Below are 27,653 nucleotides of genomic sequence, written 5' to 3'. Positions count from 1 at the left end.
AAGTGCTAAGACAAGATGATAAAACTATTGATTCTTTTTCACAAGGAGACTCACTGTGAGAGCAAAAGGGAGCCCTCTAACCCCAGTCTGGGGAGGGGGCTACTGAATTGGCACACTTTTTACATATTCAGAAGTATCTTCTACCTGCTTGGATTTTCTAAGCACAACAAAGGCTTTGGCTTTTAGCATTTAAGAGAAAAGATACTCCTTGGGGAAAGAGCATGAGGGAACTGATAGGAAATTGTCCCCAGGAGGTTTTCCTAAACTATCTCAAACATAATGTAGAATTACTGTTACCACTTTATTAATTCAACAAATATTTATTAGGCATCCTCTATGTGTCAGGCATTTTTCTACAGTTCCTGAGAATAAGGGAAACCAAACAGATGAGGTTCTAGCTCTCCTGGTACTCTTATATAATAGAGGAGAAAGTAAGCCCATAACAAACAAGAAACTATCTAAGAGGAATAAATGCCACAATGAAAATCAAACACCATGATATGATATGGACTATCCAGGAAGTTATTTTAGATTAGATGGTCAGAAGAAGCTTCAATGAGAAGATGATATTTTAACTGAAACCTGAATGACTAGCAAGGGCCCATTTGTATCCCAGAGGGGTATCAGAGGGAGTGGAAAAAGAAGGTAGTAAAAAGCCACATATATACATAGAGCAAGCTTCATATGTTTGAGAAAAAGAAAGAAGGCCAGTGTGGCTAGAGTACAGAGGTAGTAAGAGTGGTTAAGATAATATCTGCAAGGTAAACAAACCACATCATGTTAAAGCCCCAGAGAGGTTTAGGACTTAGTTAAAAATCACACAAATTGTTCTCAGCAAAGCTAGAATTTAACTCCATAGAAGTCTAACCCTAAGTCCATGGCCTTTCTAGAACACCACAGTTAACATATCTTATTCATCCTTATGAATGGGAACCTAGCTCAGTGTTTTACACATTGTAGATGTTCAGTAAATGTTCAGTGAAAGAAAAGGAAAAAGCCTAAATACCTAGGCATACCACTTTTCATCTCTGTTCTGGTCAGAAAACTGTCAAGCACCTATCCAAACACTGAATACTCTTACTGAAGATTAATAGGACCTACAGTTGTGATTCTTAATCATGGATGCACACCAGAATCACCTGGGAAACTTTAAGAACTACTGACGCATGGAAATCATCAGAATATCAGAAATTCTGATATATGTGGTCTGGGATGTAGGGGGATTGGGATTTTCAAGAGCTCCTCAAGTTATTCTAATGTCCAGCCCAAGTTGAGAACCACTGCTCTAGAGGTTCCCAAATATAAAACCATATGAAAAAGCCATCTCACCAATTGCTGCTGGGCATGAGGTACATGACAAAGTGACAAGGAACAATAAGGTTTTCGGGGGTGTAGGGTTACTGGAGTGAGGAGAAACAAATTTAAAAGTGGCTAAATAACTTGCTACACATGGATAAAAGATGACAGTAGGAAGTACTGTGTAGTATAATAATGGTATTACAGTTATATAAGCAAATGTCCTCATGTTTTTGGAGAGTCATGATAAAGTATTTGGGAGAGAAATGTCATAATGTTTAAAACCTCCAAACTGTTCAGCAAAACAAATACAATCACATATATAGATAAAGCAAATATGACAAAACTTTGACAATTATTGAATCTAGGTGGTGGGTGATCATTTTACTTAACTTTTCTGTATGTTTAAAATTATTCATAATAAAATGTTGGGAGGGAGAAAATATCTCAGCCGGGTACCGTGGCTAATGCCTGTAATCCCAGCACTTTGGGAGGCTGAGGTGGGCAGATCACGATGTCAGGAGATCGAGACCATCCTGGCTAATACGCTGAAATCCCGTCTCTACTAAAAATACAAAAAATTAGTCGGGTGTGGTGGCACGTGTCTGTAGTCCCAGCTACTCAGGAGGCTGAGGCAGGAGAATCGCTTGAACCCGGGAGACAGAGGTCGCAGTGAGCCGAGATCGTGCCACTGCACTTCAGCCTGGGTGACCGAGCGAGATCCTGTCTCAAAATAAATAAATAAATAAAAAATAAATGTTGGGAGGGGGAAAATATCTTGCCACAATATACAGATAATTAATCCATCATATTTGGAAAGCTGTCTTGGTAATTTATTTCTTTTTCTTTAAACTTTATTTCTTCCACAAGAAAACATCTGCAAGTAAATGGTAATTTTTTTAGATGGAATGTTTTTTGTTTTTTTTTTGAGACAGAGTCTTGCTCTGTCGCCAGGCTAGAGTGCAGTGGTGTGATCTCGGCTCAACTGTAACCTCCACCTCCCGGGTTCAAACGATTCTCCTGCCTCAGCCTCCAGAGTAGCTGAGACTACAGGTGCGCACCACCACGTCCAGCTAATTTTTGTATTTTTAGTAGAGATGGGTTTCACCATGTTGGCCAGATGGTCTCGATCTCTTGACCTCATGATCCACACGCCTCGGCCTCCCAAAGTGCTGGGATTACAGAAGTGAGTCATGGCGCCCAGCTGGAATGCAAGGCTTTTTAAAGGAGGTGGCAGTTCACACTATCCCCACTGAAAGAATATAAAATAAAAGCCTGCTTTTAAAGTATTTAAAGTCTGTTTATAAATATTTTCTCTCAACTCTAATTAGCCAGTTCCTTTTTAGCTATTTCCTTATAACTGCCTAATAGGCGAAACTCATATACTCTACAGAGTTTTTGATGCTTCACTCTTTCCAGGAGTCAGATTTCCCAATGCTTATCACAAAGGTTTCTGTCCTGTCAGCAGCTTAAGGTTGCCTGCCATCAAATAGTCCTCACCTCTGAGTGACACTAAGAGGTACCACCCATGACCTGGAAGAGAATGGTGGCCTCCAGTAGAACTGAGTTACATTCTCCTAGGACGTAATATAATCTCTCTCCACTAGCTCTCAAAAGCAGCTCAGAAGCAGTGATCTGTAACAAGGGTCACCCAAGGTAAAACTGGGAAGTAGTTAACACTGTCTCTACCACGCCCTCCACAAGCAGCTGAAGACACTCCAACTCTAAACCTTTCCCTATCTCTTCTATATCTGTTTCCTTTACTACACTTAATTTTAAGCTGTGAATCAATTAAATAAATGAATCCTAACTAGTGTTTAGCTAACTGGCCTTTTAAGAAATGGCTAGAATGTCTAGCTCTTGGCAGTCTCATCAAATCACATCATGGCCACCTATTCTGATACAATTACACTTACACATATTTTGAAGTACCTACCTACACAGAGTGTCTCCTTTAAAGTTCATATAAAATGAAGTCAATTTTTCTTACAGTTTAAATGTCAGTCACTGACTGGTCATGCTTGCTTCTTTCTCCATGGCTTCTCAGGAGGCTCATGCATACATTCATTCATTCATTTTAGAGACAAGGTCTCGATCTGTGGCCCCAGCTGGAGTGTAGTCACATGATCATGGCTCACTACAGTCTTAAACTCGTGGGCTCAAGCAATCCTCCTGCCTCAGTCTCCCAAGACACTGGGATTTCAGGTGTGAGCCACCTTGCCTGGCTAGAAGATGCATCTAAAATAAAATACCTCAATTGGGCCAGGCATGGTGGCTCAAGCCTGTAATCCCAACACTTTGGGAGGTTGAGGCGGGAGAACTGCTTGAGCCCAGGAGTTTGAGACCAGCCTGGCCCACACAGTGAGACCTTGTTTCTACAAAAAATAAACAAAATTAGCCGGGCATGGTGGTGCACACCTTTAGTTCCAGCTACTCAAGAGGTTGATGTGGAAGGGTTGCTTGAGCCCAGGAGGTTGAGGCTCCAGTGAGCCATTACTGTATCACTGCACTCTAGCCTGGGTGACAGAACGAGACTCTATCTCAAAAAATAAAATAAAATAAAATAAAATAAAGTACTTCAATTAAAGAATGCTTTTAAATGAATGTATAGGTCAGTGTAAAGTAAGTACTCACTGTCCTCCTTAGTTTAGTCAAAACTATGGTGAATTTTAAGGAACACAAAAATGAATCTTAGCTCAATATTAAAGATGCTTATTCTAGTAATCTTCCTAACTCCCTTATCTTAAAGAGATGATCAGAATCACCATAACAATCACTTTGAATGCTTTTGCCAAATCTGATTGTCAGTGTTCCATTCTGCTCTCAATATTTCTAAAACTAAAGGCAATAAATTCATTTACAAAAATGCTTACATAACTTGGTAGACATTCTAGCCAGTAGATGTAAACAGTAAAGATGGAGCACTTTTGTAAATTATCAATAGTACTTAGTTTATCCTAGTAAAGGGACAAGCACTTAAAGACAAGCAAAACAAAATTAAGAACTATTAATGGATAAAAGATGTTAGTGGCTGGGTGTGGTGGCTCATGCCTATAATCCCAGCACTTTGGGAGGTCAAGGTGGGTGGATCACCTGAGGTTAGGTGTTCAAGACCAGCCTGGCCAACATGGTGAAACTCCGTCTCTACTAAAAATAGTAATAATAATAATAATAATACAAAAATTAGCCAGGCATGGTGGCACCTGCCTGTAGTCCCAGCTACTCGAGAGGCTGAGGCAGGAGAATTGCTTGAACCCAGGAGGCAGAGGTTGCAGTAAACAGAGATCACGCCACTGCACTCCAGCCTGGGTGACAGACCGAGAATCAAGACTCCGTCTCAAAAAAAAAAAAAGAAAAAAAAAGAAAACCCCGTCTCTACTAAAAATACAAAAAAATTAGCCAGGCGTGGTGGCAGGCACCTGTAGTCCCAGCTACTAGGGAGGCTGAGACAGGAGAATGGCGTGAACCTGGGAGGTGGAGCTTGCAGTGAGCGGAGATCGCACCACTGCACTCCAGCCTGGGCAACAGAGCGAGACTCCGTTTCTAAAAAGAAAAAAAAAAAAAAACAGTTAGTGAGCAATGTGTATAACAATGTATCAGTGACATTACTATCATTCACTGTAATCTAGTGGATGAAGGGAGGTGGTTAAATTTGACATGCTCTTATACGTATCTGGTTTAATAAAACCCAGACCATAGACTGAAGCCACACTGAAATAGGTTATACTTCTCTTCACCTAATTTTCCAGAGGAACATACAGATTCTGGTTTCCCTTGTGAATATGACAAAAAAAAAACCCCACAAAAAACAAAAACAACACAACAAACACATGGATGGATATCTTTATGCCTGAAAACAAAACAAACTGCTTTTTACTTCAAGTGTTGTATAAAGTCAAAACAAACCTTACTCTTTGCTCTCAACTTCTAAATGTTACCCTAACACCCCTGCCACCTTAAATAAGACCCAGCAGTGATCTAACACCCACTATACTTACAGCTCATCTTATGATTATCTTGTACTAATGTGGATTACATAACAAGCAGCTTCTCTGGCCACAACAGCTCTCCCTTCTGAGCCATTCAGGCAATTACAGTAGTCCCCCCTACCCTTAACCTTGGAGGATACATTCCAAGACCCCCGGTGGGTACCTGAAACCACGAATAGTACCTAACCTTACATAAACTGTTTTTTTGATCTGATAACCAACACAGCTACGAAGTGCCTAACTTTGTAGCAGCCAGCGCATACAACATGCATATACTAGATAAAGGCTAACAGTTTACATCCTGGGTGGGACAGGGTGGGATGGTGCAAGATTTCATCATGCTACTCAGAATGAGGCACAATTTAAAATTTAGGCCGGGTGTGGTGGCTCCTGTCTGCAGTCCCAGCTACTCGGGAGGCTAAGGCAGGAGAATCGCTTGAACCCAGGAGGTGGAGGCTGCAGTGAGCAGAGATCGTGTCACTGCGCTCCAGCCTGGGTGACAGAGCGAGACTCCGTCTCAAAAAATAAATAAATAGGCCGGGCACGGCGACTCACGCCTGTAATCCCACCACTTTGGGAGGGATTACATATATATTATATATATATGGGTTTTTTTGTTTTGTTTTGTTTTGTTTTGTTTTGTTTTGAGACAGAGTTTCGCTCTCGTTGCCCAGGCTGGAACAATGGCGCGATCTTGGCTCACCGCAACTTCTGCCTCCTAGGTTCAAGCTATTCTCCTGCCTCAGCCTCCTGAGTAGCTGGGATTACAGGCATGCGCCACCATGCCCGGCTAAATTTTGTTTTTCATAGAGACAGGGTTTCTCCATGTTGGTCAGGCTGGCCTCGAACTCCCGACCTTCAGGTAATCCACCCACCTCGGCCTCCCCAAGTGCCGGGATTACAGGCGTGAGCTACTGCGCCCCGCCAATCTTTTAAATTTTCAGTTATTTTCAATTATTTTTTTTTTTTTGAGGCAGGGTTTTGTTCCACCACCCAGGCTGGAGTGCAGTGATGCGATCATGGCTCACTGCAGCCTCGATTTGCTGGGTTCCATCAATCCTCCCACCTCAGCCTCCCGAGGGAGCTGGGACTACAGGCATATGCCACCACACCTGGCTAATTTCTGTATATTTTGTAGAGATGGGATTTTACCATGTTCCCCAGGCTTGTCTTGAACTCTTAGGCTCACGTGATCCTCCTACCTTGGCCTCCCAAAGTGCTGGGATTACAGGTGTGAGCCACCATGCCCAGACTAAAATTTTTTAGTTTTTATTTTTTGAGACAGGGTCTTGCTCCATTGCCCAGGCTGGAGTGCAGTGGCGTGATCATGGCTCACTGCAGCCTTGACCCCCAGGCTCAAGTGATCTTTCCACTTCAGCCTCCCAAGTAGCTGGAACTACAGGTGTGCACCACCAAGCCTGGAGGTTATCCTCCCTCCATACGTTAGACAATTGGACTTCAGAAGTAAACTCACCTCTTAGTTGACATATGTGCTCTCCCCCTCTCCTAGACACACACACACACACACACACACACACACACACACACTCACGCTTACCCTCTTTTCCTCTCTCTTAAGAAGCTGCTGCTAGAAAATAAAAAGAACTTGCTGCTAATATTAAAATTTTTACTGAGATTTGATTGTTTAGGGATGAATGTATGAGTTAATTTTTTTTTTTTGGCTGGCTTCTTCTTTAAACTCGGGCTATAGTTTAATTACGACAATCATGAAATTATTGCAAATAAACAAAGAATGTAAAACTCCCTTCCTATTTGTCTAGCACTACTAAACTTGAGAAGTGTAATATAATTATATAGACTGATCTCAGCCAGGAACTCTAAGCACTTGTGTGGCTGTGATATAGAAGGATTACTAATAAATTGAGCCCGGTGTGGGTGTCACATTAGTGCCTTCATCACATTAAATGATATAGGCAACCAGGCATAGTGGTAGGATGACCAGCTTTGAAGTCACATAGATTTAGGAGATAAATCAACTTCTGCTTCTTTCTAGTTGTGTGATCTTGGGGGCATAAATGTTTCTAGGCCAAAGTTTCTTCAAATGCCAAGGCTATTGTGAGATTATCAAGAGAAATTGTTGCCTAGCATAGTCTACTTTGAAGGCACCCAAAATAAATGATAACTATTCTTACTAATTACAGTGAATTTAAGTGAACAGAACTTTGACAATCATTTTGGGGCCAACATTTATCAATGTTCTTGGCACTATGCCAAACTGAGAAATAGGCTTGTACTTAAGAGAATGAAAAGTGGACCCTGGAGAATGTAAAGATTGAACTGAAATTATTAGGTTTTATACCAGCATCTACTAGTTTTGAAGTTTGGAGATTTATAAAACTCAAAAAGATGATTTGGATGTCAGGCAGTACATTATGATGTCAGGTGGTACATTATAAAATATATCAAAATTTTCACAGGCATTAGGAGGTCTACCCTTATCTCACTGAAACTTAAACACAAACTCCAGTTCTCAAGGTAGCTTAACAAAACATCATGTACTAAGCCCGCTTTGAAAAATAATTGAATGACTTCCATACTCACAATACCCAAACACAACAATGTTCAGTTCCTGGTGTTCAGGAGTGGAAACATAGCATTAACACTTGCCAGGATAGGTTTTTGGCCATACTGTCTTGGTATGCACAAGTTTCTTTCTAGAGACTAGATCTGAAAAAAAGTCAGGAATGAAAATTATTATGAGACTGCCCAGGCATGGTGGCTCACACCTGTAATCCCAGCACTTTAGGAGGCTGAGGCAAGAGGATTGCCTGTGCCCAGGAGTTCGTGGCTAGCCTGGGCCAACACAGGCAGACCCCATCTAAATCATTTAAAAAAAAAAAAAAAAAAGAAAAAGAAAAGAAAAGAAAGAAAAATATTATGAGAGAATAATTCATTTTACATTATAAAAAGGGAGTTAGCATACAGAAACACTAGGTCTTAAGAGTAATCAAATCTTAAGTAGCATTACTATTTTTTAAAATTAAGATCCTATTTTGGTTTGCTATATTAAAACTGATACAACAAGAAGGCTGGGCAATGGAGACTCAAGTAATCAGTAGAGAGCCAAGAACCTGCCCTCACAAAGATTTCTCTAGAAGAGAAAAACTGACAAACAAGATGACAATATCAGAAAGTAGTAAGTGCTGTTATAAAAATAAAACAAAACAAAGTAATAGGTTAGATAACAAGTCACTGAGGGTACCACGTTAGATAAAGGAGTATGGAAGAGCTGATAACTGAATAAGCTGAGTACTGGGGAGGAACAACCAGGATGAGGGACCAGGAAGTATAAAAACTCTTAAGTAAGAGCAGATATAAAGCCTATGTGGGTGGTATATGAATGGGAATAATGGTAAGATCAGTTTAAGTAGGCAGTTGCAGTCAGATACGTAGAAATTTGGGGCCTTGGTAACAGAATTTAGATTTTATCCTAATTTGGCAAGTCATTTGAGGATTTTTAAGCAGAAGAATTAATGACATTGAGACTATGCTCAAAAATATAAAGATGCTGTTTTTCTCACTGAAGTTCACAGGTTCGTATAAAGCCAACAAATTTTTCAAAGTTCATGAAAAATGTATGGAGGAAATTTAGCACTTAAATTAAAATATACATTCTATGGACTTCAGCCAACTTTGACCTGTTTCTCTACTCCTTGTTCCCATAATCTAGTCAGTTAAGAAATCCTGCCAATTTCTTCTTCATAATTATCATCTATTTACTCCTCTTGCCAAGCATCCCACTTCAAAATCTTTTCCATCTCTGTTCTTTTCCTCTTCTCCTCCACACACATGCTCATGTGCGTGAATGCACACAGATGGGCACAAAATTTGAGACAATCTTGTTGGGAAGAGCGGTCCCCAAGTTTTCTCTTAGCATCTAAATAATGAGTATGAAAGAATATTTCGATTTCAGGAATACAAAATAAGGAATTCCCTGGGTAAGAGATGACTATGAACAATAAATAAACACTATCTAGATGGAATAACATCTAGTAGAAAACCAAAGGATCTTCTGCGGGGGGAAAAAAAAAAACAAATTAAAAAACCAGAGAGACGCTGGGTGTGGTGGCTCACACCTGTAGTCCCAGCACTTTGGGAGGCCGAGGCGGGCAGATCACGAGGTCAAGAGATCAAGACCATCCAGGCCAACATGGTGAAACCCCATCTCTACTAAAAATACAAAAAAATTAGCCAGGTGTGGTGGCATGCACCTGTAGTCCCAGCTACTCGGGAGGCTGAGGCAGGAGAATCACTTGAACCTGGGAGGTGGAGTTTTCAGTGAGCTGAGATTGTGCCACTGCACTCTAGCGTGGTGACAGAGCGAGACTCAGTCTCAAAAAAAACCCAGAGAGACAAGAGGAAGGGTGGTAAGTATGTAATTACTCTAGATACTGGACAGAGGTATAACAACTCATCTGATTAAGATGTAGCTACAAAAGCTCCTATTTTACTCCCTTCTCTGTTTATCATTTTAACTTCTATTTAACTCAGTTTATTGTCTTATACTATTATTGCTACGGATACTATTATTTATCTTGCTTACATCACAAAGTGGGTGAATAGAAAAGGAAGGTAGAATATTAAACGAGATATCTGTGAAGGCACATAGTAAACTAGAAAGGGCTAAACAAATTCATTTATTCAATAAATACTTATTGAGCGACCACTCAGTGCTAGACACAAAACAGACATGTTCTATGTTCTCATGGAGTTTATAGGTGGTAGGGGATCTTATTAAAGTTATTAATATAATTATTCATTATATGCCCATCTTTCCTGCTGGATACTGAGGTTCTCTAGAAGGCTATGTCATTATTTCATTCCTCCTAACAATGATCACAGAACCTGGTACACAGAAGGTGATAAATAAATGTTAGAATTGGGAATACCTCACGCAAAGGCTTTTCTAGTGTTCAGCTACAGGGCCGCTTCTCAGATTCCAACTTGGCTACCAATGGTCTCCTTGCTACACACCCCAGGGGCTCAGCCAATCTTCCTTTCCCCTTGGTTGCTGCCATCAGGCACTTTTTATCTTTGAGGATTTCCATAACCTCCACACCTGCCTGATTAACCAAGAGGTGAGCTTTTGGCCCTTTCTGTTTTTATCTTCAGGACTTGAGTCTCACTACTATCACCTCTTGATTCTATCTTAAAGCCAAGAGATCCTTTCTTTCTAAATAGAAGTTGCAATTAAGGCAGAACAACAAGCACCTCCTTGGTCTAAAATTTAAAAAATTTACATTTATGAGGCCACACATTAAAATAGTTCACAAGGTTAGAGTTCAGCCTGGGAATTATGTATCCTCTCTGGAAATTTACTCACATTCCAGCCAAAGCCACAGAAGAGAATTTAACTGCAAAGGCATGATATCTCTCAGACACTAAAAAGTGCAATGCTCTATTTCAGACTGGGAGATAGAGTGAAACAGTGAGAAAAATCATAACTTCTTGGGTCAAGGTCCAGATGAAAGGCCTGCTGACTCAAAGGAAATGGCAACTAAAAAAAAAAAAAGGAAATATTTTAGAGTTTCAAAGCTATACAAAAGAAGCTGCAAAATAAAATTCTTTGAAATAAACCTCAATAGTTAAGTTCCAATACCAAGATTTCCTCATACTTTAGTCTATTTTAGTTTTCTGTTTGAACTGTATGTATGTGCTAGACAACAAATATTTATTGAGTAGTTACTATTTGCCAATCAAGAAGGATGTGATGATGTGATGGAAGCAGAAAAAGAACTTGTGGCAATGAAACAATTAGGCTATGACAATACAACATGGCAAGGGAGGCACAGGAATCTGTGGCAACACAAAGAGGAATATGTAACTCAGCTTTGGGCAGAAAGGACTTCCCAGAAGGAAGATATAAACTCTAAGCTAAGATCAGAAAAATAAATATGAGCCAGACAACAGTAACAATACTTACATAGTACTTATTAAGTGCCAAGCATTATTTTAAGAGTATTCCATATATTTACCTAATAACTCTCCCAACCACCCTATGAAGCTGAAACTATTATTCACATTGTATAGATGAGGAAATTGAGGCTTTGAGAGATAAAGTAAACTGCCACAGTTACATGGTAAGCAGAACCAGGATTGGAACCCAGGTAGGAGGTGGGGGTAGGGGTGGCAAGAGATGGCAAGGGAAGGGGAAATCAAAGGGTGACAGGTAGAGAAATGTACGTATTACAATTTGGAGAACAAAAAAGGTACAGCAATAATGGAGAGTTAAGTATGGTGAGCTTCTTGGGAGAGGTTAAGAATGAAAATTTATGAGAAACTATATTAAGCTGGGGCTACTTACACCTTGAATTACAGTAGTAAATAACAAACCAAAAAGCAATAGTCTATGTATGATATACACCAATAGACTATAAAGTGATTTCCTGGTATCTCCTCCTTTAAGAAAATCTTTCGGCCGGGCGCGGTGGCTCACGCCTGTAATCCCAGCACTTTGGGAGGCCGAGGCGGGCGGATCACGAGGTCAGGAGATCGAGACCACAGTAAAACCCCGTCTCTACTGAAAATACAAAAAATTAGCCAGGTGCGGTGGTGGGCGCCTGTAGTCCCAGCTACTCGGGAGGCTGAGGCAGGAGAACGGCGTGAACCTGGGAGGCGCAGCTTGCACTGGGCCGAGATCGCGCCACTGCACTCCAGCCTGGGCGACAGAGCGAGACTCCGTCCCAAAAAAAACCAGAAAATCTTTCTATATACCACTAACAGTATTCAGCTTCCTAAAAAATTCCTAAAATTCAATTTCATGACACTACCCTGATCAAAAAGTCTTTAATAGCTCTTCACTGATTATAAGATTCATGCCAAATTTATGAGACTTCATAAAATGAGCTCCATCTCTCTTTCCACCAATCCCCACCACTAATTTCAGCCCTCGATAGAATTATTCATTGCCCTGGGAATTTTTATTCATTGCTGAATAAAAATTTGGACTAAATATTTCAGTTTCACACTCTGTATCATACTTCAGCCTACACACAATATATTTATTACATCTGCACAGTTTCACAATTTTTAGTGGGTGCAGAAGAAGGAGTAGAAGAGTAAATTTGTGCAAACTGAACCAGTTCCTGATTATTTTTCAATGTTCTCTGAAATCACTGCACGTACAAAAAATCTGACCATCTACTATTAGAAGGTATGTAAAGAATTACACATTTTTTTGGTATCAGAAGTTGTCAAAAAAAAAAAAAAGAAGAATAAGAAAAAAGAATTACATTTCAGGTTTGCTCAGTGGCAGATATTTTAGCATTCTGAATAATATGTGACATACCAAATCCCATAATTTCAAACTAATAGTCTGTGCTATCTCCAAAACCAAGAATCTCATTCTTACCAAAAATGTCAGAAAGAAGAACTAAATTTAATATTAACTTGTTATTACTAAATGAGCTTACATTTTGGATATAATTATCCTGGTTCCTCTTTACGGTTTTTAATCTTTAATGTTGAAAAGTTCATTGTATGACTTATTTATTATAAATGGCATTAAATCCTTTTAAAAAGCAGATAGGATATAAATAATATTTTGAAATTCCCTCAAATACTGATAACTAAGTATACACTAAATCTAGTAACTATAAAAAAACTCAATAAACCTAGGTAATGCTGTAACTGTATTACAGAGGCTAAAAATCGGAAGGTAAACACTGTATATAACAACCAAGAACTGGTCAACATGGTGTTAACAGATTACAAACAGACTAAATACACTGGCATTATGTGAAAGACTAGTAAAGCAGTGCTAAGTATTTAGTGGCTAGGAGGGAAGGGCAATAATTTCTGTTAAATTTTTAATTAGGGTTGGGAAACTGATCACTTATTTAACCTTTCATTTGGTTTCTTCATCTATAAAATGCAAATAGATAATATCTGATTGTCATGAGGGTTAAATAAACTAATATATATATATGAAGCATTTAGAATAATGGCTGGCATTTAAAATAAGTGCTGGCCAGGAGCAGTGGTTCATGCCTGTAATCCTAGCACTTGGGGAAGCTGAGGCGGGAAGATCACTTGAGACCAGGTGTTCGAGACCAGCCTGGGCAACATTGCCAGGCTCCAGTCTCTATAAAAAAATTTTAAAATTACCCAAGAGTAGTGGCTCACGCCTGTACTCCCAGCACTTTGGGAGACCAAGGCAAGAGGACTGTTTGAGCCCAGGAGTTTGAGACCAGCCTGAGCAACATAGCAAGACATTTTCTCTACAAATAATAAAAAAAAAAAAATTGGCCAGGTGTGGTGTGTGTGCCTGTGGTCCCAGCTACTTGGGAGGCTAAGAAAGGAGGATTACTTGAGCCTGGGAAGCTGAAGCTGCAGTGAGCTGTGATCATGCCACTGTACTCAGCCTGGGCAACAGAGAGAGACCCTGTCTCCAACTAAAAAAAAAAAAAAGGTAGTTATTGCGTTATTGCTACATGTAGGATTATGGGTGATTTCTGTTTTCTATACTTCACTGAATCTTCAGGTTTTCTTTTTTTTTTTTTTTTTTTTTTTTTGAGACAGAGTCTTGCTCTGTCACCCAGGCTGGAATGCAGTGGCCCAATCTCGGCTCACTGCAACTTCTGCCTCCTGGGTTCAAGCAATGCAATTCTCCTGCCTCAGCCACCCAAGTAGCTGGGATTACAGGCACACACCACCATGCCCGGCTAATTTTTGTATTCTTAGTAGAGACAGGGTTTCACCATGTTGGCCAGGCTGGTCTCGAACACTTGACCTTGTGATCTGCCCGCCTTGGCCTCCCAAAGTGCTGGGATTACAGGCGTAAAGCACTGCATCTGGCTATTTTTTTTTTTTTGAGACAGAATTTCGCTTAACGGCCTCCCAAGTAACTGGGATTACAACAGTTGTGCAACACCATGCCCGGCTAATTTTTGTATTTTTAGTAGAGACGAGGTTTCACCATGCTGCCCAGGCTGGCCTCGAACTCCTGGCCTCAAGTGATCCACACGCCTTGGCCTCCAAAGTGCTGGGATTACAGGCGTGCGCCACTGCACCCAGCCCAATTTATTCATTTTTGAGACAGGGTGTTGCTCTGTCACCAAGGCTGGAGTGCAGTGGCGTGATCTCGGCTCACTACAGCCTCAACCTCCTGGGCTCAAGCGATCCTCCCATCTCAGCCTCTGGAGTAGCTGGGACTACAGGCATGTGTCACCACAGCTGGCTAATTTTGTTTTATTTTTTGTAGAGATGAGGTATCACTAGGTTGCCTAGGCCAGTCTTGAACTCCTGGGCTCAAACGATCCTCCCACCTTGGTCTCCCAGGGTGGAAAATTCTTTTTTTTTTTTTGAGATGGTGTCTTGTTCTGTTGCTCAGGTTGGAGTGCAATGGCGTGATCTTGGCTCACCGTAACCTCCGCCTCCCAGGTTCAAGTGATTCTCCTGCCTCAGCCTCCCAAGTAGCTGGAATTACAGGCGCACATCACTGTGTCAGCTAATTTTTGTATTTTTAGTGGAGATGGGGTTTCAGCATGTTGGCCAGGCTGGTCTTGAACTCCTGACCTCAGGTGATACACTCGTCTCGGCCTCCCAAAGTGCTGGGATTACAGGTGTGAGCCACCACACCTGGCCGGAAAATTCTTTAAAGATTAGCAAATCAAATCCAAGAATATATAAAAAGGTTAATAAATCATGATCAAGTGAGGTTTATACCAGGAATGTAAATTTGTTTGAACACCTGAAATTTAATCAATGTAATTCACCATAGTAAGAGACTAGATTTTTTTTTGAGGCAAGGTCTTGATCTGTTGCCCAGTCTGGAATGCAGTGGCACTATCATGGTTCACTGTAGCCTGGACCTCCTGGGCTCAACTGATCTCCCCTCAGCCTCCAGAGTAGCTGGGACTACAGGTGCATGCCTGTAGTCTAACTGCCCGGCTAATTTTTGTGGTTTTGTTTTGTTTTGTTTGTAGAGATGGGGTTTTGTCTTGTTGTCCAGGCTGGTCTTGAACTCCTGGGCTCAAGCAATCTGCCTGCCTTGGCCTCCCAAGTACTGGGATTAGAGGTGTGAGCCACTGTGCTAGGCCAAGAGACTAAAATTTTTAAAAGTATATGTATTTATCTGGATAACCCAGAAAGAGCATTTGGCAAAATCTAACATCCATTCCTGATAAAACACTCAACACGCCAGGAATAGAAGAGGACTTTCTCAATCCGAAAAAGAAAATCTATGAAAAAACTACAGCTAACGTCATATTTAATGGTAAAAACGGAATGCTTTCCCCTTAAAATCAGGAATAAGGTAAGGATGTCTACTCTTAGCACTTCTATGGAGCATAGTAATAGAGGTTCTATTGAGTTCAATAAAGGCAAGAAAAATAAATAAAAGGCATCTAAATGGAAAGGAAGTTAAACTTTCCTAATCTGAAAATGACATGATTGTCTAGCTAGCAAATTCTATGGAATCTTAAAAGAAGCTACTAAGAACTGATATATCAGTTTAGCATGGTTGCAGCGTATAAGATCACTTTATGAAAATAAATTTTATAGGCCAGGCGTGGTGGCTCATGCCTGTAATCTCAGCACTTTGGGAGGCTGAGGCAGGTGGATCACGAGGTCAGGAGATCGAGACCTTCCTGGCCAACATGATGAAACCCCGTCTCTACTAAAAATACAAAAAATTAGCCAGGCATGGTGTCAGGTGCCTGTAGTCCCAGCTACTCGGGAGGCTGAGGCAGGAGAATGGCGTGAACCCAGAAGGCGGAGCTTGCAGTGAGCCAAGATTGCGCCACTGCACTCCAGCCTGGGCAACAGAGTGAGACTCTGTCTCACAAGATAAAATAAAATAAAATAAAAATAAAAATAAAAAATAAAATTAAAAAATAAATTAAAATTAAAAAATTATTACGTAAACATTCAGAAACTGAATTTTAAAAATACCATTTACAATAGCCTCAAAACATAAAATAGTAAAGTATGAAATACTTAAAAATGTGTAAAATATACACACTGAAAACAAAATATTGTAAAGAGAACTTAAAGACCTAAAATGAAAGAGAGATAACCTGTGTTCATAGATTGGAGGGCAATATTGTTAAGATGGCAATTCTCTCCATATTTATTGATAGATTCAATGCAATTCCAATTAAAGTCCCAGTAGGCTTTTTTTTTTTTTTTAAGGCATGGACAAGCTGAATCTAAAATGTTTATGACAAATAATCTATAACAGCCAAATAACTTTGAAAGAACAAAGTTGAAAGATTTAAATCATATGACTTCAACATTTATTATAAAGTTATAGTAATCAAGACATGTAGTAATGCCAACTAAGATAGACAAATCAGAGAGTCCAGAAATAGAACCACACATCTATGATAAATGGTCAACTGATTTTTCATAAAGTGAAAATGCAGCTCAGGAGAAAAAGAATAGTTTTTTAAACAGTGCTGGACCACTGGATACCCATAAACAAAACCAAAAATTTTAAAAACTCATTTTGGCTGAGTGCAATGCCTTATGCCCTGTAATCCCAGCACTCTGGGGAGGCAGAGGTGGGAGGACTGCTTGAGGCCAGGAGTTTGAGACCTGCCTGGTCAACATAGTGAAACCCCATCTCTACAAAAGAAAAAAATTAGTCAGGCACGGTTGCATGTGCCTGTAGTCCCAGCTACTTGGGAGCCTGAGGCCAACCATCACTTAAGCCCAGCAGTTTGGGGCTGCAGTGAGCTATGATCCCATCACTGCACTCCAGCCTGAGCCACACAGCAAGACCTTGTTTCAAAAAAACAACAATGGCTGGGAGCAGTGGCTCAAGCATGTAATTCCAGCATTTTGGGAGGCCGAAGCAGGTGGATTGCTTGAGGTCAGGAGTTCCAGACCACTCTGACAACATAGCAAAATCCCGTCCCTACTAAAAACAGAAAAATTAGCCAGGCGTGGTGCGTGCCTGTAGGAGGCTGAGGCAGCAGAACTGCTTGAACCTGAGAAGCGGAGGTTTCAGTGAGCCAAGATCGCGTCACTGCACTCCAGTCTGGGCAACAGAGCAAGACTCTGTCTCAAAAACAAAAAACCAAAACAACAACAAAACCATTTTAATCCATACCTTGCAACATATATAAAAATTAACTAAAGTTGGATGATAGATCTAAATATATAACCTGCAACTACAAAACTTCAGGAATAAAATAGAATACCTTTGTAACCTTAGGTTAGACAAAGATTTTAGATATGGAAAGCATGACCCATTAACGAAAGCAATGATAAACTAAACTTCCAAATTAAGAACTTATGTTCTCTTATCACTGATAATGAAAAGACAAGCCACAGACTGGAAGAAAATATTTGCTAATCACATCTGATAAAGGACTTACATGCACAACGTATCAAGAACTCTCAAAACACAATAATAAGAAAACAAACAACTCAATTTAAAATAAGAAAAAACTTTTTTTTTTTTTTTTTGAGACAGAGTCTTACTCTGTCACCCAGGCTGGAGTGCAGTGGTGCGACCTCGGCTCACTGCAACCTCTGCCTCCTGGTTTAAGCGATTCTCCTGCCTCAGCCTCCTGAGTAGCTGGAAATACAAGCACCTGCCACCACGCCTGGCTAATTTTTGTATTTTTAGTAGAGACGTTTGGTAGTTGCCACAAAACGTGCGATATAAGAAGGTAAGCTTAATCAATAAATGTGTAAGTTCTCACTGCCCCATTGATCAGCTGTTCTCTTGTCTTTCTCCCTCTCCATGGTCATCCCTTCCCTGAGACATCTACTTTTCTCTCTTTTTTTTTTTTTTTTGAGACAGAGTTTCACTCTTGTTGCCCAGGCTGGAGTGCAGTGGCGCGATCTCGGCTCACCATAACCTCCGCTTCCCAGGTTCAAGCAATTCCCCTGCCTCAGCCTCCCGAGTAGCTGGGATTACAGGCATGCACTACCACGCCCAGCTAATTTTGTATTTTTAGTAGAGACGGGGTGTCTCCATGTTGAGGCTGGTCTCGAACTCCTGACCTCAGGTTATCCGCCTGCCTCGGCCTCCCAAAGTGCTGGGATTACAGGCGTGAGCCACCGCGCCAAGCAAGACATCTACTTTTCTAAATCCTTTATGCTAACTCTTTGAATTAAGGTATAAGTACCCTTGGAGGTAAAAACAATGGGTCAGAAATGAAAAGAAGTCATAAGATAAAAGCTGGACCCTTACCTTATACCATAACAAAAATTAATTCAAAATGAACCAGCTGGGCAGAGTGCATGCCTATAGTCCCAGATATTCAGGAGTCCGAGGTGGGAGTACTGCTTGAGCCTAGGAGTTGTGAGTCCAGCCTGGGCAACATAGTGAGACTTCACCTCAAAACAAACAAAAAAAAGGGACCATCCTAAATGTAGAAGCTAAAATTATAAAACTCTTAGAGAAAAACATACAGGAAAAGCTTCCTGACATTGGATTGGCAGTGATTTCTTGACTAAGACACCAAAAAGTACAGGTAACAAATGTTAAAATAGATAAACTGGACTTCATCAAAACTGAAAACTTATGCATGAGAAGACTAAGAAGACAACCTACAGAATGGGAGAAAATATTTGCAAATCATGTTTCTTTTTTTTTTTTTTTTTCCCGAGACAGAGTCTCACTGTGTCACCCAGGCTGGAGTGCAGTGGCACGATCATCGGCTCACTGCAATTTCCACTGCCTGGGTTCAAGCGATTCTCCTGTCTCGGCCTCTCAAGTAGCTGGGATTACAGGCATGTGCCACCACACCCAGCTAATTTTTGTATTTTTAGTAGAGACAGGGTTTCGTCATGTTGGTCAGGCTGGTGACCTCAGGTGATCCGCCCACCTTGGCCTCCCAAAGTGCTGGGATTACAGGCATGAGTCACTGTGCCTGGTCATCTATTCCTCTTTTTTTTTTTAATTATTTATTTTTAAAAACAGGGTCTTGCTATGTTGCCCAGGCTGGTTTTAAACTCCTGGCATCAAGCAATCTTCCTGCCTTGGCTTCCCAGAGTGCTGGGATTAGAGGCATGAGCCACCATACCTGGCCTGCAAATCATACATCTAATAAGAGATTAATATCCAAAATATATAAAGAACTCCCACAATTTAACAACAACAACAACAACAACAACAATAACAACAACAAACCCCAATTCAAACCTGGGCAAAACACTTGAATAGATATTTCTACAAAGAAGATACACAGCTGGGCACAGCAGCTCATGCCTGTAATCCCAGCACTTTGGGAGGCTGAGGTGGGTGGATCACTTGAGCCAAGGATTTCAAGACCAACCTAGACAACACTGTGAGACCCCATTTCTACAAAAAAACAGAAAAAAATTAGCTGGGTGTGGTGGTGCATGCCTGTAGCCCTAGCTACTTGGGAGGCTGAGGTGAGAGGATCCATTGAGGGAAGTAGAGGCTGCAGTGAGCTGTGATGGCACTCCAGCCTGGGCAATATAGCAAGACCCTTGTCTCTTAAAAAAACATGAAGAAAAGAAAAAAATTAGTTTGGCGTGGTGACAGATACCTGTAGTTTCAACTACTTGGGCGACTAATGTAGGAGGATCACTTGGGTACAGGAGACTGAAGCTGCAATGAGCTGTGATTGCACCACTGCTCTCCAACCTGGATGACAGAGTGAGATCCCATCTCAAAAATAAATTAAATTAAGCCCAAAAATGAAAAATAAAAAACATGGACCAAAAATCAATGGTTAAGATGGTAAATTTTATGTTATTTGTGTTTTCTTTCTTTCTCCCTGTCTCCCTCTCTCTCTCACTCACACACACACACACGAGTACAGACTCTGAAGCCAGATTACCTGGCTTTGAATTTTGGCTCTGCCAATGTAACCTTGGGAAAATAACCTAACTGCTCTATGTCTCAGTTTCCTCAGCTGTAGATGGGGATGATATTAATAGTACCTACATCATTAACTGTGAGGATTAAATTAGTAAATATACATACACTTCTTACAACAGTCTTGGCACGGTGGCTCATGCCTGTAATCCCAGCACTTTGGGAGGCCTTGGTGGGTGGATCAGCCTAGCTGTTGAAACATGGTGAAACCCTGTTTCTACTAAAAATACAAAAAAAGATTAGCCGGGCGAGGTGGTGTGCACCTGTAATCCCAGCTACTCTGGAGGCTGAGGCAGGAGAATTGCTTGAACCCGGGAGGCGGAGGTTGTGGTAAGCCAAGATTGCGCCATTGCACTCCAGCTTGGACTACAAGAGCTAAACTCCGTCTCAAAAAAACCAAACCAAACCAAAACCAAAACAAACAAACAAAAACAGTCTTGAAACACAGTGGGTACTATTTTATTTTTAAGTACTTATTATTATTAGATTCACCATTTTGAAAATAAAATTTAATGTGGAATTTAGACCTACAGGCAAAACTGAATTTCTCCTATGCAAAACGGAATAAAAAAAATTCATGTGCCTAAATTTCAGGGTTTTCAGGTGAACTCTTGACATGAAGCCTTTATATCCATATACCCATCTTTGCACCAGCATTACCACTACATGAACAGAAGAAAGATTTCTGTATCATCTTTTTTAAAAGATTTCATTTATAATTTTGAATATTTCATCTCAAGTAGGTTGTTTTGACATATATGCAGAACAAATAACTCTCTAAGAATTTCTCTTCAAGGGCTGTAAGCAGTTTATTATTCTTTCTTTCTTTTTTTTAAAGACAGGATCTTGTTCTGTTGCCCAGGCTAAAGTGCAGTGACAAGATCACAGCTCACTGCAGCCTCAACCTCCTGAGCTCAAGTCCTACTTTAGCCTCCCAAGTAGCTGGGAATATAGGCACATACTACTATGCCCAAGTAATTTTTGTTTTTGTTTGTCTTTTGTAGAGATGGGTTTTGCCATGTTGTCCAGGCTGGTCTTGAATTCCTAGGCTCCAGCAATCTGCCTACCAGAGGCTCCCAAAGTGTTAGGATTACAGACATGAGCCACCTAGCCCAGCCTAAGCAGTTCTATTAACTGAGCACATTCACTAGAGTCTATTGATTCATCGACTTGTAAAGAAAAGCATTTGATTTAATAGCCATCTGGTGTAGTGTTGTTTCTTTGGCATCTCACATTTTGTTAGAGTGTACACGAGTAAAATTATTCAAAAGTGGCACCTTTTTTATTTCCTTTGCTTTACTGTTCTCAAACATAATATTGACCATTCCTAAGTGAGATGGTAAAATGAGAAATTATGCAACTTGGTAAGGCTAGGACCTTTGTTTCCTACTTTGTGTTTGTAACTGTTGAAAAAATTCAAATATTTTTCTATGAAAATTAGATCTTTTGTGGTTGAGGGATCGCAGCATAGCTTGCTTGGAACCATTTCTTCTAAAAAATTCCTTGCAAATTAGACAATTCAGTTGGAGAAAAGAATCACTGGGGAATACATATGTAAACTTGAGATAATCCTCATCAAAGGGTCATCATTGAATAATTAATTATGAATTAGTACTTTTTCCTGCTATTTGGTTTATGATGACTTTCCAGTGTTAATCAAAAAGTAATCTACAAGGGTATTAAAATCAATATATTTCTCTACACCCCCGTCCTCCTGCTTTGCCTCATTTTTCTCCAGAGCCCTTCTCACCACTAATAAAAAATCAGTATTTTCATGCTTAATATTTATTATGTATTCCCCCCACTAGAATGTAATTTAAACAGGGAGTTTTTTTGTTTGTTTATTTGTTTTACTGTTTTGTTCACTGATGTATCCCAAGCACTAAAACAGTGCCTGGTACACTGGTGGGGACTCACTAACAAAATACCTGTCCAAAAAAAAAAAAGTGGTAAGTGGCTTTACAAATGGCTAGAGGTAATTCCATCATCCTCCTGAGTAACCTGGTTTTAGGAAGTACTTCTTATGAGCCAGAGCCAGATTTTATCATTCTTTAGAGCACAGGGCCTACTTTCCAATTTTTCAAAAGCCCAGAGGGCAAAGCAGCCTTGTTTCCCATCTGCCATGTCAATTCTACATAGAATTATTATTGCAACTGTATTCATCCACTTTATATTCATGGTTTACTTCAATTATGTCATCCTAACATGCATGCAGAGACCTACAAAGATAAGGCTCTCAAATATCCAGAAAACCAAAAAATCCAAACATCTAGATCATGTGGATCTTATTCTCACTGTCTAAAGTTGAGTAAGTCCAATATTAACACCATGACTATCTCCAAAAAGCCTAGGAAATCTAAAATAAAACAACTGCTAGAAATAAGGGCTAATTGACATTGATATAAGGTCATACACAGAAATCAACTGCATTTCTATACACTAGCAGCAAACAAATGAAAAATGAAATTTTAAAAATTACCATTTGCATCAAGAAACATGAAAAACTGGGCCAGGCGTGGTGGCTCATGCCTGTAATCCCAGCACTTTGGGAGGCCGAGGTGGGTGGATCACGAGGTCAGGAGATCCAGACCATCCTGGCTAGCACAGTGAAACCCCATCTCTACTAAAAATACAAAAATTTAGCCAGGTGTGGTGGCGTGCGCCTGTGGTCCCAGCTACTCGGGAAGCTGAGGCAGGAGAATGATGTGAACCTGGGAGGCAGAGCTTGCAGTGAGCCGGGATCACGCCACTGCACTCCAGCCTGGGCGACAGGGCGAGACTCTGTCTCAAAAAAAAAAAAAAAAAAAGAAACATGAAAAACTGGCTGGGTTGTTGTGGCTCATGCCTGTAATCCCAGCACTTTGAGAGACATAGGCAGGTGGATTGCTTGAGTCTAGGAGCTCAAGAACAGCTTAGGCAATGTAGGAAGACCCCATCACTACAAAAAAATTTAAAAATTAGCTGGGCATAGTGGCATGCACCTGTTGTCCCAGCTACTCAGCAGGCTAAAGTAGAAAGATTGCTTGAGCCTGGGAGGTTGGGGCTGTGGTGAGCCCTGATCGCACCACCGCACTCCAACCTGTGCAATCAGGGCTCACCACTGGTCGCCACTGGTCACCACTGGTGACAGAACAAGGCACCATCTCCAAAAAAAAAAAAAGAAAGAAACATGGAACATTAAAATCTTAGCCAGGCATGGTGGTGCATGCCTGTAGTCCCAGCTACTTGGGAGGCTGAAGTGGGAGGATCACTTGAGCCTGGGAGGTCAAGGCTGCAGTGAGCAGTGATCATGCCACTGCATTCCCATGTGGGCAACACAGTGAGGCCCTGTCTCAAAGCAAAAAAGAAAAATTAAAATCACAATGAGAGATGTACTCCTTCACAGTGACTAAGATGTATAGCCACTTGAAAAGAAAACAACAGACAGTATCAAGTACTGACAAGGATTTGCAGCAACTAGAACTCTCATACATAGCTGGTAAGAGTATAAAATCGTGTAACCACTTAGGAAAACATTTTGCCACTTTCTCATAAAGTTAAATATATACTTACCATGTGAACCAGTAATTTCATGTGTATGTATTTATCTAAGAAAAATAAAACCCTCTATCCACAAAAAACTTTGTGTACATGAATGTTCACACCTTTATTTATAATAGCCAGAAGTTGGAAATGATCCAACTGGTGGTAAGCAGGTAAGCAAATGTGGTATATCTATACAATGAAATAGTACTCAGCAATAAAAAGAAAAAAACTGCTGATAAATGCAACAACATAGACAACTTCCAAGGAGATTATATTAAGTGAAAGAAGCTGGACACAAAAAAGTACTCACTGTATGATTTCTCTTATACATATTCTAGAACAGGCAAAACTAATGATGGAAGTAAGATTAGTGGTTGATTGCAATGGGGGCAGGGAGAGAAAACTGTAAAGGGACACAAAGGAACTTGGGGAAATTAAAACGTTCTACATCTTGGTTTTGGGGGTGGTTAAACAGATGCATCCATTTCACAAAAGTCATCAATCTGTACACTCATAATCAGTGATTTTTATTATACAGATATATGCTTTGATGAATGGATTATTAAAAATCCTGGCGAAGTGTGTTGGCTAATGCCCGTAATCCCAGCACTTTGGGTGGCTGAGGCAGGTGAATTCCTTGAGCTCAGGAGTTCAAGTCCAGCCTGGGCAACACGGTGAAACCCCATCTCTACAAAAAGTACAAACATTAGCTGGGCATGGTAGCGTGAGCCTATAGTTCCAGCTACTCGGGAGGGTGAGGTGGGAGATTGGCTTGAGCCCAGGAGACGAAGGTTGCAATGAGCCAAGGTCACGCCACTGCACTCCAAGCTTGGGTTACAGAGCTAGACCCTGTCTCAAAGAAAAAAAAAAAAATCCTGTATACTGCATACTCTTCTCATCATGCCAACCCCATTCCCCACCTTTTAACAAGTAGATCTGGTTGCAAAAGAAAGGTCTAAATGTACAGACAGGAGAGACACAACGGCTTCAAGAAAGAAGTGGGGTACTAGTCTCATTTAATCTTGCTAAATAGCAAGTCTTAATCTCTTTTACCTGCTTAACAGAATGGCAGAAATGACAGGTACACAGTTTTCTCATAATAGGGAAACCATTGCTTTCTGGAATTGTCCAGCATCTATGGGCCATCTTGAAACATGCAGCACAACACCTACCTACAACTTGATGGTCTGACAGCAGAGGAGAAAGCACTGACTTGGAATCCAGAGACTGAAAACCAAACGCCCTTTAACAATCAATGTACCTGCCCTGTATTCCTGGCTCATGGCTTTCATGCTAGATTGGTAAAAAGGGGTTCGCTTGCTGACAGCTTAGAGGAGTTAAGAGAAGGGATGAGTCCTGGTTTTCCTGTTGAAAGAACTCTGGACAGCCTGACAGTCACTGCTGGCTTTGGAAAGGCATTTCAGATAAGGCTGTAGGAGAAACCAGGTCTTCATCATCAGCTAAAATGAATGCTGCCTGTTGTTTCAACATAAAGGAAGGAGAACCAGCCTAGCAACTAACCTCAACATCATTTGTCTGGTTGACACTGTGAGCCAAAAAATTATTTTAATCACATTCTGCATAAATCTGCTTAGCAAAAACTTTCAAACCTATAAAGCACATCAAATTATATTACAGCCCTGAAGTCCTTTCAAATTATTTTATTTTGCTGGGCTTTGGTTTTAACGATTATTACTTAAATGAGTCCAGTGCTCAAGTTGAGAACTTTTCTTAGGACAGAGTCTCACTCTGTCACCCAGGCTGAGGGCAGTGGCATGATCTCAGCTCACTGCAACCTCCGCCTCCCAAGTTCAAGCGATTCTCCTGCCTCAGCCTCCTGAGTAGCAGGGATTACAGATGCATGCCACCACGCCCGGCTAATTTTTGTATTTTTTAATAGAGATGGGGTTTCACCATGTTGGCCAGGCTGGTCTCAAACTCCTGACCTAAGGTGATCCGCCGTCCTTGGCCTCCAAAGTGCTGGAATTATAGCTGTAAGCTATCATGCCTGGCCTCAAAGTTGAAAAATTTTCTGCTGTATGGATTTTTTTTCTTTTTAACATAAATGAGAGTCAGTCAAGGAGCACTTATGGAACAGCTACTACCAGGGGTTGTGCTAAGTAACGTGTAGCCTAAGGCAAAGACAACACAAGACTTGCCTTCAAAAAGATCTTCCAATCTAGGTGGAAAAGAATTCGATCATATTGTATGGTGTGATAAATACTATGACACAAACATATATGAGGTTCTGGGAAACAAAAACTCATCAGAGTAAAACTTTGATTGCTTCTTAAAATAGAACTAGTTTTTGATTTAAAAAGGCAGAGAGGCTGAGCGTGGTGGCTTACGCCTGTAATCCTAGCACTTTGGGAGGCTGAGGTGGGTGGATCACTCAAGGTCAGGAGTTCAAGACCAGCCTGGCCAATACAGTGAAACCCCGTCTCTACTAACAATACAAAAATTAGCCGGGCATGGTGGCAGGGCGCCTGTAATCCCAGCTACTCAGGAGGCTGAAGCAGGAGAAACGTTTGAACCCAGAGGTGGAGGTTGCAGTGAGCCGAGATCACGCCACTGCACTTCAGCCTGGGCAACAGAGGGAGGCTCCGTTTAAAAAAAAAAAAAAAAGCAAAAAACAAACAAAAAGGCAGGGAAAGGTGTTTTAAGCAGAGAAAAAAGTATATATACACAAAGGTACAATTATATGAAACAACAGAAAGTATGAACCCCCATGGCATGTCTAGGGAACTGCCATACTTTGGTATGGCTGAAATAAAGAAGGAATGGTAGATGAAATTAGAAAAAAAAAAAAAAAAAAAGCAACAACAAAAAACAGACTGGGATGGAATTCTGAAGAGCTGTGTGTCTTAAAATTAAGAGACTGGAATTTTTAAATTTATTTTTAAATTTTTTAAATTTTACTTTAAGTTCTGGGATACATGTGCAGAACGTGCAGGTTTGTTACATAGGTATACACGTCCCACGGTGGTTTGCTGCACCTATCAACCCGTCATCTAGGTTTTAAGCCTCAGATGGATTAGGTAATTGTCCTAATGCTCTCCCTCCCCTTGCCCCCCACCCGCTGACAGGCCCCAGTGTGTGATGTTCCCCTCCCTGTGTCCATGTGTTCTCACTGGAACTGGAATTTAATTTACAATGTTATATGAATTTAATCCAGAATGTTTAGAAAGATCACCTGGCAGCAATGTAGAGAATGGACTGGAGAGATGCTAGACCAGAAGCCAGGGGACCAACCTGGAATGATGCAGGTAAAAAGTGTTAAGGTCCAACTAAGGCAGAGAAAGTGGGGATGGAGAGAAGGAGGGTGGATATTGTTAAAAAGAAGAATCATCCACAGGACATGGGACTTCTGAATAAGTGAAAAGGAGAGTCTAAGATGATTCTCTGTTTCAGCCTCAGCATTTGAGTGGTTGGTGCATTAAGCATCAGCAAGATACGGAATATCACTAGACAATCAAGTTTAGGTTGAACAATGAAAACTTTGGATGCACTGATTAAAATATAATGAATGTAAAATATAAAAATATAGTGTAGTGCACAGAAATTTGAAAGGTGACAATATTTAAATCCTATTTCAGTGTTACAGAGCTGAAGTTCCATATGATGATGAGAGAAAATAACACAGAGAAATCTTAAGTCAGGAAGGAAGTTCTAGAAAAAATTGGCCTTGGAAGAGATGACCATTTCTGCCTTTCTCCCTCACATTAACTACTTGAAAAATAATCCAAATAGATTCAGGCAAAATTACGTCTATAGTTTTGCCCAAGAGGCCCATAAATATTGTATGCAAAGTTCCAAGTTTGAGAAAAAGTGGTTTTAGGCCATTTTCTAAGCTTCCTTACTCTCACACAGCATAAAAAATATCTACTGGGGAGTAGGTTTTAGGTTCAACTTTCTCAGAAATACCTACTCTGTCTGTGTGTGTGTGTGTGAGAGAGATGGGGGTCTCCCTATGTTGCCCAGACTGGTCTCAAACTCCTGGCATCAAGTGATCCTCCTGC

At 40.7% G+C, this 27,653-nt stretch overlaps 1 protein-coding gene and 1 long non-coding RNA gene across 6 annotated transcripts in view, besides 5 other annotated features; one reads left to right on the top strand and one right to left on the bottom strand.

The window, feature by feature from the left end:
* The window catches only part of LOC101930091 (uncharacterized), a 92,612-nt gene extending 65,007 nt beyond the window's left edge, over positions 1-27,605 (top strand). Inside the window, exon 5 of the long non-coding RNA XR_007064678.1 lies at positions 26,810-27,605. This is a non-coding gene — a long non-coding RNA (uncharacterized LOC101930091). The remainder of the gene's footprint in view (positions 1-26,809) is intronic.
* ZNF609 (zinc finger protein 609) overlaps positions 1-27,653 on the bottom strand; it is a 226,491-nt gene that overhangs the window by 116,363 nt on the left and 82,475 nt on the right. The window lies entirely within an intron of this gene.
* Positions 5,475-6,044: an enhancer, noted in NCBI's record as "H3K27ac-H3K4me1 hESC enhancer chr15:64855861-64856430 (GRCh37/hg19 assembly coordinates)". NCBI's record gives its function as "activates a minimal SCP1, AML or CMV promoter by ChIP-STARR-seq in primed H9 embryonic stem cells {active_cell/tissue: H9 hESC(primed)}" and the evidence as "EXISTENCE:reporter gene assay evidence [ECO:0000049][PMID:30033119]".
* Positions 6,045-6,614: an enhancer, noted in NCBI's record as "H3K27ac-H3K4me1 hESC enhancer chr15:64855291-64855860 (GRCh37/hg19 assembly coordinates)". NCBI's record gives its function as "activates a minimal SCP1, AML or CMV promoter by ChIP-STARR-seq in primed H9 embryonic stem cells {active_cell/tissue: H9 hESC(primed)}" and the evidence as "EXISTENCE:reporter gene assay evidence [ECO:0000049][PMID:30033119]".
* Positions 11,317-11,816: an enhancer, noted in NCBI's record as "H3K4me1 hESC enhancer chr15:64850089-64850588 (GRCh37/hg19 assembly coordinates)". NCBI's record gives its function as "activates a minimal SCP1, AML or CMV promoter by ChIP-STARR-seq in naive H9 embryonic stem cells {active_cell/tissue: H9 hESC(naive)}" and the evidence as "EXISTENCE:reporter gene assay evidence [ECO:0000049][PMID:30033119]".
* Positions 11,817-12,318: an enhancer, noted in NCBI's record as "H3K4me1 hESC enhancer chr15:64849587-64850088 (GRCh37/hg19 assembly coordinates)". NCBI's record gives its function as "activates a minimal SCP1, AML or CMV promoter by ChIP-STARR-seq in naive H9 embryonic stem cells {active_cell/tissue: H9 hESC(naive)}" and the evidence as "EXISTENCE:reporter gene assay evidence [ECO:0000049][PMID:30033119]".
* Positions 23,213-23,282: an enhancer, noted in NCBI's record as "active region_9571". NCBI's record gives its function as "activates an Ori minimal core promoter by ATAC-STARR-seq in GM12878 lymphoblastoid cells {active_cell/tissue: GM12878}" and the evidence as "EXISTENCE:reporter gene assay evidence [ECO:0000049][PMID:35858748]".

This window comes from Homo sapiens, chromosome 15 (assembly GCF_000001405.40).
Source record: "Homo sapiens chromosome 15, GRCh38.p14 Primary Assembly".
NCBI lineage: Eukaryota > Metazoa > Chordata > Mammalia > Primates > Hominidae > Homo > Homo sapiens.
The sequence above is the reverse complement of the archived record's forward strand: the minus strand, read 5'-3'. Positions and strand labels throughout refer to the sequence as shown.